The following is a 12,730-nucleotide window of genomic DNA, read 5'->3' on the forward strand; positions in this document are numbered from 1 at the left end:
CCGAGAGAATGATTGTGCCAGGTGCATAAGTCTTTGTGAATGAGAATCAGTTAATAATGGTGACTAAAGGTGAAGAACACAGATTTCAAACTCAAGTGTCCTGCAGGGGCCAGGCAAGTAATGTAAATGACTAAGGTGGGCTAGGTGGGATTGTGCTAAACTAGAAAAGTGCATATTCCATCTAAAGCAGCATGTCCTTCTTCTGATTGTTGTCCTAAGGAAATGAGTATCCAGTGTTGCTAGATAACTGAATTTTTCAAGAGAAGCTGAAAATCTGGACTTTTTATGTGATTTCTCAAATTTTTACGTATTTGCAAAGAGTTTAAATATTTTTTTACTCCTTTGGCCAAATAAAAACATCTATCTGCAGGCCAAATCTGGCTCCAAGTCTTCAACCTCTGGCATAGTAAAAAACAGGCCTTAGAGTAGGAGAGATTTTTTTTTTTCTCCCCAAGAAGAAGTAAATAATGTCTGGGTAGTAGCAGTGGACAGCCTAGAAGGCTGACTTTCCCCCCTCCTTAACCAGTGGATGAGAGAATAGGAAACTTCTGAATAGGGTTATAAGGGTTAGTGGTGCCATGTGATATGAAATGGTGACATCTAGAAAGACACCATAAAGACATTGAGGAGTGAAAGGCACATGAAATATTTCCTACTATCAGGCGATATACACGAAATAATATTTCTGTTTAAAACGTTGTTGGTTCAGCCATATAATATGATCCTGCCTCTGTTTTTAATTAATAGTAACAAAGTCCAGGCTGGGTGCAGCGGCTCACTCCTGTAATCCTAATGCTTTGGGAGGCCAAGGCAGGAGGATCTCTTGAGGCCAGAAGTTCAAGATCAGCCCCGGCAAGAGACCCTGTCTCTAAAAAAATTTTTTAAATTAGCTGGGCATGGCAGTGTGTGCCTGTTGCTGAGCCTGTCTCAAAAAACAAAAAATAAAAATAGTAACAAAGTCCATGTGGACTTTATTCTCTACTTTAAAATTTTTATTTTGTAAAATTTTGTTAGTATTAAAGTTAATCTAAATTAGTAGAATGATATCTCTAGTTAACATTATTTTGACTCTGCATATTCAGATCCTTCACACATAATATACTGCATATGAGCATATTTCTATAACATTTTACACTGACTTCTTTGACTTACCCTTTATTAGTCACATATTTAGCCCGTGAACTATATTGTATATAGCCAGAATACTTAGCACTAAGATTAGGGTCATTAGGCAAAAACCAGAAGATAAGTAACACTCCATATAAAACACATCTGGACATAAACGGCATGTATCAGAGGAATTAGTCTTGTCCTTAAGTGATGACAGTGGACTGTACGCTAATTATAGAGTTATGCCATTGTACCTTCCAGCTGCCACGTAAGTACTAGATCAGTCTCAGAACCTCTGTTCATGTTTAAATAGCATTTGAAAAGAACATTAATAATCAGGAAAGCCCACAACTTTAAGTGGTTGGAGTTATTTGCACCAGTCCCAAAAGGACCGCAACAGTTAAAGGAGAGAGTCATACAGATAAGTCCCTTCTGAAAAATACAACCCAAACTTTTTGCCAGACTTAACAAAATTGGCAGAGGCCTTACTACTTAATGTTTAGTTAAATTTGAAATGAGCTACACAATCTGTGGCTATATCACCCTAAATGTGCCTGATCTCATTTGAAATGAGCTACATAGTCTGAACCAATAGGTGATGCTGAGCTAGTCATGATGAGATTCCTCTTTCCCAAAGATTTCATAGCAAGTTTCTCCTCTAGTGCTCTTAAAACCAAAATCAACTCCAGTAAGAAGCCATCTTTGGGATGGACATAGGTAGAACATGTGTCATGAAACCTGAGAGCCCGAAGTTTTAGAATGCTCAGTTGGACCCCACAATCTAGATATAAATTTACAAAGAAAAACAGAAATCTCCCCTTGTCCCCAACTTTTGAGTATCTCCCAACCTTTTGTGGGCTCTGATAGTTGTTCAGGTTATAGGACCTTTGCCTGACATTCTGGAGTCTCATCCTATGCCTGTGCAGCTTAGTAGTTATTCAGCCAAAGACTAAAGGGAACCCTTGCAGATCTTGTTATTTTTCTATGGAGCACCCTCTTCTCCAGTTGTGCCTTGCAATTTCCAGCTGTCTTAACCTCCTCAGACTCCAGTATGTCTCCAGAGCTCAGGAAGACTGCTATAATTGGCTTGCCTTCAGCAGAAAGCCAGGGACAATTGTAGGGCTCACTTCATTTCCCTTTCCTTCTTACAAGGATCATACAATCTTATACTACTAGTTGCTCAGTGTCTGAAAACAGTTGTTTCATTTGTTTTTTTCTAGTTTTCTGGTTATAGTAGGAGGACTAATCCAATAGCATTTATTCTATCATGCCCAGAAAGTCTTTTAATGTTTAGTTTTATGGTATTTCTGACATACGGAAACTTCATATGCATACATTTGTATTTATCAGTCTTTTCCTATATGATTCTTATTTTTGGTATTATAACTGTTCAAAAGATCTTCCCTACCCCCAAGATAGCAAACCATATTTTCTTCTAATACATACAATATTTTAAATATCTAAATGTTTATCTACTTTTTAGAATAAAATCTGAAGTAGAAGGTAAATATTTAACTTTCTTTCCCAAATGACTAGCCAAAGTGCCCAAGTCCCATTTATGGAACAGTCTAACCTTTCCTACTAATTGAAATGCTACCTCCTTTTTTTTTTTTTTTTTTTTTTTTTTTGAAACAAGGTCTTGCTCTGTTGCCCAGGCTGGAGTACAGTAGTGTGATCATGGGTCATTGCAGCCTCCACCTCCTGGGCTCAAGCTGTCCTCCCACCTCAGCCTCCCAAGAAGCTGGGACTACAGGCACACATCTCCAAGCCCGGCTAATTTTTTTTTTTTTTTTTTTGAGACAGAGTCTTGCTCTGTCACCCAGGCTGGAGTGCAGTGGCGCGATCTCGGCTCACTGCAAGCTCCACCTCCCAGTTTCATGCCATTCTCCTGCCTCAGCCTCCCAAGTAGCTGGGACTACAGGTGACCGCCACAACGCCCGGCTAATTTTTTATATTTTTAGTAGAGACGGGGTTTCACCATGTTAGCCAGGATGGTCTCTATCTCCTGACCTCGTGATCCGCCTGCCTCGGCCTCCCAAAGTGTTTACAGGCATGAGCCACCGCGCCTGGCCTAATTTTTGTGTTTTTTTGTAGAGATGGGGTTTCACCATGTTGCCCAGGCTGGTCTCGGACTCCTGGGCTCAAATGGTCCACCTGCCTCAGCCTCCTTAAGTGCTGGGATTACAGGCATAAGCCAATGCACCTGGCCAAAATGCTACCTTTATAATATACTAAATTCTTATATATTCTTGAACCTATTTGAGAGCTTTCTATTCTGCTTCATTGATCTATTTGTCTAGTCTGGTGCTATTATCACCAGATAATTGTTTTATCACAAAGGCTTTAAAATTTTAAATTCCTTGACTGTGCTTGCCTAATTATCCTAAATAAACTCTAAGGTCATTTTTGTTAGATTCTACCTTGTCCTCGAATAAATAAACATGATTGAGACCTTATTTAATTTATAGATTAATTTGGAGAAACTGTATATCTTTATAATTCTCCATTTTTCCTCCTGGGAGCTTATGTTTCTTCATTTATTCACATTTTCTTTTATGTCCCCCAATAATGGCTTCTAGTTTTCTTCATACAGTTTCTAGGCATGTTTTGTTTAATTTATTTAATTTGATAGTTTTTGTTGCTTTTGAATTTCTCATTGTCGAGTTTATTCCTAGGTAATTTAAAAGTTTTTATTTTGTTTATTTATTTTTCATTGTCGATATTCAATATAAAATTTAAAAGCTTTGCTGCCATTGTGCTTGTACTCTTTTTTTCCTAACTGGTTATTAAGTCTAAAGGTTTCAATTTGAAGAATATGAATAGATGATTCAGTATTGTTCATAGGTTAAATATAATGCTTAAAGTATTTCCATAATACTAGTTTCTAAGTCTTTGTTATGAGGGTACTACTCTGTAAGTTTGGCCACTCATGAATAATAAGGGTCTTTTTTTTCCATCAGTGATTGGGACCCAAGGTATAAGTATTTCTGACCAGGCTTGGTGGCTCACAACAGTAATCCCAGCACTTTGGGAGGCTGAGGCGGGTGGATCACTTGAGGCCAGGAGTTCAAGACCAGCCTGGCCAACATGGTGAAACCCCATCTCTACTAAAAATACAAAAATTAGCCGGGACTGGTGCTGGTGACATGCACCTGGAGCTGAGATCGTGCCACTGTACCCCAGCCTGGGCGACAGAATGAGACTCTGTCTCCAAAAAAAAAAAAAAGAAAAAGAGAAATATTTCCATATGAAAGTTAAGTCCTTCATGTCATTGAAGAGAAGAAAAACTTCCCCCGATCCTGCTTGGGTCTCTTGCTGCCATCTTGTCTCTTTCTCTTTCCATACAGACTTTTTTATTATGGAAAATATACATAATATAAAAATTTGTCATTTTAACTTTTTTTTTTTTTTTTTTTGAGACGGAGTCTCATTCTGTTTCCTAGGCTGGAGTGCAGTGGCGCGATCTTGGCTTACTGCAACCTCCGCTTCCTGGATTCAAACGTTTCTCCTGCCTCAGCCTCCAGAGTAGCTGGGATTACAGGCGTGCACCACCACGCCCGGGTAATTTTTGTATTTTTAGTAGAGACGGGGTTTCACCAAGTTGGCCAGGTTGGTCTCAAACTCCTGACCTCAGGTGATCCACCTCCCCTCAGCCTTCCAAAGTGCTGGGATTACAGGTATGAGCCATCATGCCCAGCCGTCATTTTAACTATTTTTAAGTGTACAAATCAGTGGCATTAAGTTCAATCACAGTGTAGTGCAACCATTACCACTGTGTATTTCCAGAACTTTCTTATTATTCCAAACAGAAACTCTATACCCCTTACATGGTAACTCCCCTTCTTCCCAGCTCCTGGTAACCTCTATTCTAGTTTCTATCTCTATGAAATTGCCTATTCTAGGTATGTCATATAAGTAAATCATACATTATATACAATATTCTTCCTTTTGTGTCTGGTTTGTTTTACTTACCATGTTTTCAAGGTTCATCCATGTTGTAGCATGTATCAGAGTTTCATTCTTTTTTATGACAGCCAGACTTCTTTTATGAATATGTAACGTCTCTCACTATTTTCTTTGTCTTCCAGTAATGCCTCGCTTAGCTTTAAGCTGGCTTCCACCCTGTCCAGTCTACCAAGTAAACAGGATCACATAATTATCAGATATAGTGGGCACTTTTCTGTCCTTATCTTGACCTCACCCTAGTATTTGACATCATTGACCATTCTTTCCTCACAACAGTATTGTGATTGGCTTCCATGACAATTTTTAGCTCTGGCCGGGGGAGGCCGAGATGGGTGGATCACCTGAGGTCAGGAGTTCGAGAGCAGCCTGGCCAACATGGTGAAACCCCGTCTTCACTAAAAATACAAAAAAATTAGCCAGGCGTGGTGGCACGTGGTATGAGAATGCACTCAGCGTTCTTGGGAGGCTGAGGCAGGAGAATCACTTGAACCTGGGAGGCAGAGGTTGCAGTGAGCCAAGATCATGACACGGCACTTCAGCCTGGGTGACAGAGCAAGACTCCAAAAATAAAAAAGCCCTTATTTTCCTCCCACCTCTTAAACTATTCCTTTTTAATCTCCTTTGCTGAATGTTCTGCCCACTCCTGTAACTTCAGTTGCCACCTCTTTTCCTGATGACTCTATTGTAGACAAAGCCACTTGCCAAACATTTCCTCTTGGATGTCTCAATGGAACTTAAAACATACCTCAAGCTGAATGTATTATTGTTTCCTCCTATCCTTCCTTATTCCAACTTTCTCCCTCTCTCCTTCTTTACTTGAATCACTCATTTACAATTTCCAATCTGGGTTTAATGGGGCATTAACATTACCCAGTAGCTACGTCTAGGAAACTCTTTTTTTTTAATTCTTCACTTTGAATAAGTTCCAACATCCAGTATGTCACTAAAGTTCACATTACATTTTGCCTAGTCGCCTGGTGAATGTCCCAGCCTTTACATTTATCTCCTTCTAACCTATCATCTACATTTCTGTCAGGTAGACCTTTTAAAAAACAAAAAAGCAAAATCTCTTATAAAAAGATCAAATAATCTAGAAATACATAAAATTAAAAGTTAAAGCCTCTGCCTGCCCTCCCACTCCTGTCTCCCATATTTTCATTTCCCCAGAGATAACAGCTTGGTCTATAGTCTTAGGTACTTTTTTCTATGCTTAGACAAAACGTGTTTACTTATTACGCTGCTCTCAGCACACTGCCTATAGGGTAGCCCTGTTCCGCAAGAGCAGTCAAAAAGAAAATTACATGTAGGTTTTCAAGTTTTTGTTTTATTCTGTAATTTGCTCTTTTTTGCTCATGAATGTATTCTGATCCTTTTTATTTTGAGATAATTATAGATTCAGGAAGTTGCAAGAAATGGTACAGAGTCCTGTGGGCTTCTCACTCAGCTTCCTTCAATGGCAATATCTTACATAGCTGTACTTCAGTATCAAAACCAGGAAATTTATATTGGTACATTACTTTTAAATAAATTACAAAACTTAGTTTTCACCATTTTAAAAATCTATTCATTTGTGCATAAGTGTGTGCAATTTCGTGCCATATATATGTTCCTGTAACCACCACCACAATCAAGACTTAGAACTGTTACCATAAAGGAACTCCCTGTTCTTTGTATCTGCACCCCCCACACACACATGCCCACCACCACACCCACCACTGTTCCTGTTCCACTTATCCGTTCTCCATCTCTATAGTTTTGACATTTGAGCATGTTATATAAATGGAATAGTATAATATGTAACCATTTGAGATTGACTTTTTTCGCAAAGCATAATTCCCTTGAGGTCCATCTAAATTGTTGTATCAGTAGTTCATTTTTTAAATTGTTGAGTGTTCCATTGTGTGGTTGTACCAGCGTTTGTTCAAACATTTACTCATTGAAGGACATTCAGATTTTCACTATTTTGCCATTGTGAGTAAAGCTGCTGTGAGCAATCATAGACAGGGTTTTGGATGAGTTTAATTTTTCATTTCTTTGGGATAAATGCCCAAGAATAGAATGGTATATGTTTAGTTTTACAAGACACGGCACTATTTCATTTTTTTTTTTTCCACATCAGATGTGGAAAAAAAATGTACTGGCATTGTAATAAGGCTTGAGGGAGGCACATCTCACACATGAACGTGAAAACCCAATGTCGTCACACTTACGTCATCATAAGCTTATGAACTACAAAAAGATTGTGCCACACTTTTGGAGTGTCTGTACCATTTTACATTCCCACCAGCAATGTATGTGATCCAGTTTCTCTGCAGCATTCACTGTTACCACTTTTTAAAATTTTAGCTGTTCTTCTATTGTGATTTTACTTGGCATTTTTCTTTTTTTAAATTAAAAACATTTTCTTGCTCTCGGTCTTAAAATTATTTCCTCAAATACATTGTGTTTTTCTAATGGCTAATGATGTTGGGCATCTTTTCATGTGCCATCTGTGTCTTCTCCTCCTCCCTTCTTCTTTCTCCTTCTTTCTCCCTTCTTCCTTCTTTCTTCTTCTTCTTGTTATCTTTGCTCACTGCAACCTCCCCTTCCTGGGTTCAAGCAATTCTTGTGCCTCAGCCTCCTGAGTAGCAGGGATTACAGGCACGCAACATCATGCCCGGCTAATTTTTGTATTTTTAATAGAGACAGGGTTTCATGATGTTGGCCAGGTTGGTCTCGAACTCCTGGCTTCAAGTGATCCTCCCACCTCAGCCTCCCAAAGCCATGGTGCCAAGCCCCATCTGTATATTTTCTTTGGTGAAGTGACTGTTCATTTCTTTGGCCCAGTTTTTTTTTTATTTTTTATTTTTATTGTTTGGAATTCAGTGCAAATTTTATTAGACTACAAAAACATATCATAGTTATTTTAGATATATTTATATGAAGTCATAAAAGCTATGATTTTTGAAAAACAGCATAAGAAATTTTTTTAATTTCTTATATAAATTAACTTTAGTGTCTTAAGGATTCAATGATACAGTTTTTAAATTTTTTAAATTGATAGCAATTGTACATATTCTTGAGGGCACATAATTATATTTCCATACATATAATTTATAGTTATCAGATCAGGGTAATTAGCACGTCCACCATCTCAAATGTTTATCATTTTTTTGTGTTGAGAATGTGCAACATCCTTCTAGCTATTTGAAACTATATATTGTATTATTATTAACTATAGTCATTCTACGGCGCTATAGAACACTAGAACTGATTTCTCCTATCTAGCTATAATTTTGTATCTTTTTTTTTTCTAGGGTACATGTGCACAACGTGCAGGTTTGTTAAATATATATACATGTGCCATGTTGGTGTGCTGCATCCATTAACTTGTCATTTACATTAGATATTTCTCCTAATGCTATCCCTCCCCCAGCCCCCCACCCCACAACAGGCCCCAGTATGTGATGTTCCCCACCTTGTGTCCAGGTGTTCTCATTGATCAATTCCCACCTATGAGTGAGAACATGCAGTGTTTGGTTTTCTGTCCTTGTGATAGTTTGCTCAGAATGATGGTTTCCAGCTTCATCCATGTCCCTACAAAGGACATGAACTCATCCTTTTTTATGGCTGCATAGTATTCCATGGTGTATATGTGCCACATTTTCTTAATCCAGTCTATCATCGATGGACATTTGGGTTGGTTCCAAGTCTTTGCTATTGTGAATAGTGCCGCAATAAACATGTGTGCATGTGTCTTTATAGCAGCATGATTTATAATCCTTTGAGTATATACCCAGTAATGGGATGGCTAGGTCAAATGGTATTTCTAGTTCTAGATCCTTGAGGAATCACCACACTGTCTTCCACAATGATTGAACTGGTTTACATTCCCACCAACAGTGTAAAAGTGTTCCTATTTCTCCACATCCTTTCCAGCACCTGTTGTTTCCTGACTTCTTAACGATTGCCATTCTAACTGGTATGAGATAGTATCTCATTGTGGTTTTGATTTGCATTTCTCTGATGGCCAGTGATGATGAGCATTTTTTCATGTGTCTGTTGGCTGCATGAATTTCTTCTTTTGAAAGTGTCTGTTCATATCATTTGCCCACTTTTTGATGGGGTTGTTTGATTTTTTCTTGTAAATGTAAGTTTTTTGTAGATTCTGGATATTAGCTCTTTGTCAGATGGGTAGATTGCAAAAATTTTCTCCCATTCTGTAGGTTGCCTGTTCACTCTGATGGTAGTTTCTTTTGCTGTGCAGAAGCTCTTAAGTTTAATTAGATCTCATTTGTCAATTTTGGCTTTTGTTGCCATTGGTTTTGGTGTTTTAGTCATGAAGTCCTTGCCCATGCCTATGTCCTGAATGGTAATGCCTAGGTTTTCTTCTAGGGTTTTTATGGTTTTAGGTCTAACATTTAAGTCTTTAATCCATCTTGAATTAATTTTTGTATAAGGTGTAAGGAAGGGATCCAGTTTCAGCTTTCTACATACGGCTAGACAGTTTTCCCAGCACCATTTATTAAATTAGGGAATCCTTTCCCCATTTCTTGTTTTTGTTAGGTTTGTCAAAGGTCAAATGGTTGTAGATGTGTGGTATTATTTCTGAGGCCTCTGTTCTGTTCCATTGGTCTGTATCTGTTTTGGTACCAGTACCATGCTGTTTTGGTTACTGTAGCCTTGTATTATAGTTTGAGGTCAGGTGGCATGATGCCTCCAGCTTTGTTCTCTTGGCTTAGGATTGTCTTGGCAATGTGGGCTCTTTTTTGGTTCCATATGAACTTCGAAGTAGTTTTTTCCAATTCTGTGAAGAAAGTCATTAGTAGCTTGATGGGGATGGCATTGAATCTGTAAATTACCTTGGGCACTATGGCCATTTTCACGATATTGATTCTTCCTATCCATGAGCATGGAATCTTCTTCCATTTGTTTGTGTCCTCTTTTATTTCGTTGAGCAGTGGTTTGTAGTTCTCCTTGAAGAGGTCCTTCACATCGCTTGTAAGTTGGATTCCTAGGTATTTTATTATCTTTGTAGTAATTGTGAATGGGAGTTCACTCATGATTTGGCTCTCTGTTGGTCTGTTATTGGTGTATAGGAATGCTTGTGATTTTTGCACATTGATTTTTATATCCTGAGACTTTGCTGAAGTTGCTTATCAGCTTAAGGAGATTTTGGGCTGAGATGATGGGGTTTTCTAGATATACAATCATGTCATCTGCAAACAGGAACAATTTGACTTCCTCTTTTCCTAATTGAATATCCTTTATTTCTTTCTCTGGCCTGAGTGCCCTGTCTTTGGCCTAGTTTTAATTGTGTGTTTTTTTGTTTGTTTTGTTTTGTTTTGTTTTTGAGACAGAGTCTCACACTGTCACCCAGGCTGAGCGCGATCTCAGCTCACTGCAGTCTCTGCCTCCCAGGTTCAAGTGATTCTCCTGCTGCGGCCTCCTGAGAATCTGGGATTATAGGCGTCCGCCCCAATGCCCGGCTAATTTTTTTGTATTTTTAGTAGAGACGGGGTTTCACCATGTTGGCCAGGCTGGTTTCGAATGCCTGAATTCCAGTGATCTGCCTGCCTCAGCCTCCCAAAGTGTTGAGATTACAGGCCATGACCCACCACGCCCAGCCTGTGTTTTCTTTTTGAGACGGAGTCTTGCTCTGTCGCCCAGGCTGGAGTACAGTGGCGCAATCTCGGCTCACTGTAACCTTCGCCTCCCGGGTTTGAGTGATTTTCCTGCCTCAGCCTCCCAAGTAGCCGGGATTACAGGTGCCTGCTATTACGCCTGGCTAATTTTTGTGTTTTTAGTAGAGACGGGGTTTTGCCATGTTGGCCAGACTGGTCTCGAACTTCTGACCTCAAGTGATCTGCCTTCCTCAGCCTCCCAAAGTGTTAGGACTACAGTCGTGAGCCACCTCGCTCGGCCTGTTTTCTTAATGGGTTTTGAGGGTTGTTTATGTATTCTAGGTATAAGACCTTTATTACATATATGATTTGCAGAGATTTTCTCCCCAGTCTGTGCCTTACTTTTTCAGTCCCTTAATAGTATCTTTCAGGCTAGGCACAGTGGCTCACACCTGTAATCCCAGTGCTTTCAGAGGCCAAGGTGGGAAGACTGCTTGAACCCAGCAGTTTGAGACCAGCCTACGCAATATAGTGAGATCCCATCTCTACAAAAAATTTCTAAAATTTGTGTTTGGGTGTGCATGCCCGTAGTCCCAGCTACTTGGGAGGCTGAGATGGGAGGATTGCTTGAGCCCGGGAGGTCAAGGCTTTGGTCAAGGCTGACCCAGGAGGTCAAGGCGAAGTCCTGGGATTACAGGTGTTTGAGTCCCCAGGTGTGGCCAGTGTTTGTATCTCTCTCTCTTTTTTTTTCTTTTTTTGAGACAAGGAGTCTCCGCTCTGTCGCCCAGGCTGGAACAGCTCACTGCCAGCTCCGCCTCCCGAGTTCATGCCATTCTCCTGCCTCAGCCTCCTGAGTAGCTGGGACTACAGTTGCCCGCCACCACACCCGGCTAATTTTTTCTATTTTTAGTAGAGATGGGATCACCATAGCCAGGATGGTCTCAATCTCCTGACCTCGTGATCTGCCCGCCTCAGCCTCCCAATGTGCTGGGATTACAGGCATGAGCCACTGCGCCCAGCCCAGTGTTTGTATCTCTTTAAGAAGTTGGCAGAACGAGACGGGTGGGTTGCTTCAGGTCAGGAGTTTGAGACCAGCCTGGTCAACATGGTGAAACCCGTCTCTACTAAAAATACAAAAAAAAAATTAGGTGGGTGTGGTGGTGCACATTTGTAATCCTAGCTACTCAGGAGGCTGAGGCACGAGAATTGGTTGAACCTGGGAGGTGGAGGTTGCAGTGAGTTGAGATCACGCCACTGCACTCCAACCTGGACGACAGAGTGAGACTCATCTCAAAAAAAAAAAAAAAAAAAAGTCTTTCCCAGTTCAGATCACAAAGGTTTTCTCTTATGTTTTTTCCTAAAATTTTACAGTTGTAGCCTTTTACACTTAAGTCCATGATCCGTTGTTAATTACTTTTTGTGCACAGTTTGAAGTATAGGTTGAAGTACTTTTTTTGCCTATGGATGTCCAGTTTTTCGTCATTTATTGAAAAAACTGTCCTTCCTCCATTGAATTGCCCTGTATGTACACCTTTATCAAAAATCAGTTGAGTGTGTTGGCTTATTTCTAGAAGTCTTACTATCAGGTAGAGTGATTCCTCTCACTCTTTTTCAAAACTGTTTTATTTTCTAGTTCTTTTACCATTCCACTAAATTTAGAAGGGGCTTGTCTATATGTACAAAAACATCTTACTGGGATTTGGGTTCTTGTGTTAAAACCCATAGATCAATTTGGAGAGAATTGACATATTTACTGATTCTCTTTTCATGTTAGTACATATAGATTTCTACATTCTTTTAAACTTATTTCTTAGCATGGATGTATGTATCATAATTTATTTAACCATTCTCCTATTGATAGGCATTTAAAGTATTTCCATAATGCTGGCTTGCAGACAGTTGTTCACTATTTTTTTTTTTTTTTTGGAGACCAAGTCTGTGTCACCCAGGTTGGAGTGTAGTGGCATGATCTCGGCTCACTGTAACCTCTGCCTCCCGGATTGAAGCAATTCTTGTGCCTCAGCCTCCCAAGTAACTGGGATTACAGGTGT

General features: G+C 39.6%; 1 protein-coding gene and 1 pseudogene across 28 annotated transcripts in view; one reads left to right on the forward strand and one right to left on the reverse strand.

Annotated features, from left to right (window-relative positions):
• Nucleotides 1-12,730, forward strand: part of TAF1 (TATA-box binding protein associated factor 1) — a 164,169-nt gene that overhangs the window by 66,971 nt on the left and 84,468 nt on the right. For 3 of the 28 annotated variants that reach the window (NR_104391.2, NR_104392.2, NR_104394.2), the window contains exon 33: nucleotides 8,373-8,394. The exons of the other annotated variants lie outside the window; for them this stretch is intronic. The gene's annotated coding sequence lies outside the window, so the exon portion shown is untranslated. The remainder of the gene's footprint in view (nucleotides 1-8,372; nucleotides 8,395-12,730) is intronic. 28 annotated transcript variants of the gene reach the window in all.
• LOC124905281 (uncharacterized) lies at nucleotides 7,190-7,317 on the reverse strand (annotated as a pseudogene).

This window comes from Homo sapiens, chromosome X (genome assembly GCF_000001405.40).
Source record: "Homo sapiens chromosome X, GRCh38.p14 Primary Assembly".
Classification (NCBI taxonomy): domain Eukaryota; kingdom Metazoa; phylum Chordata; class Mammalia; order Primates; family Hominidae; genus Homo; species Homo sapiens.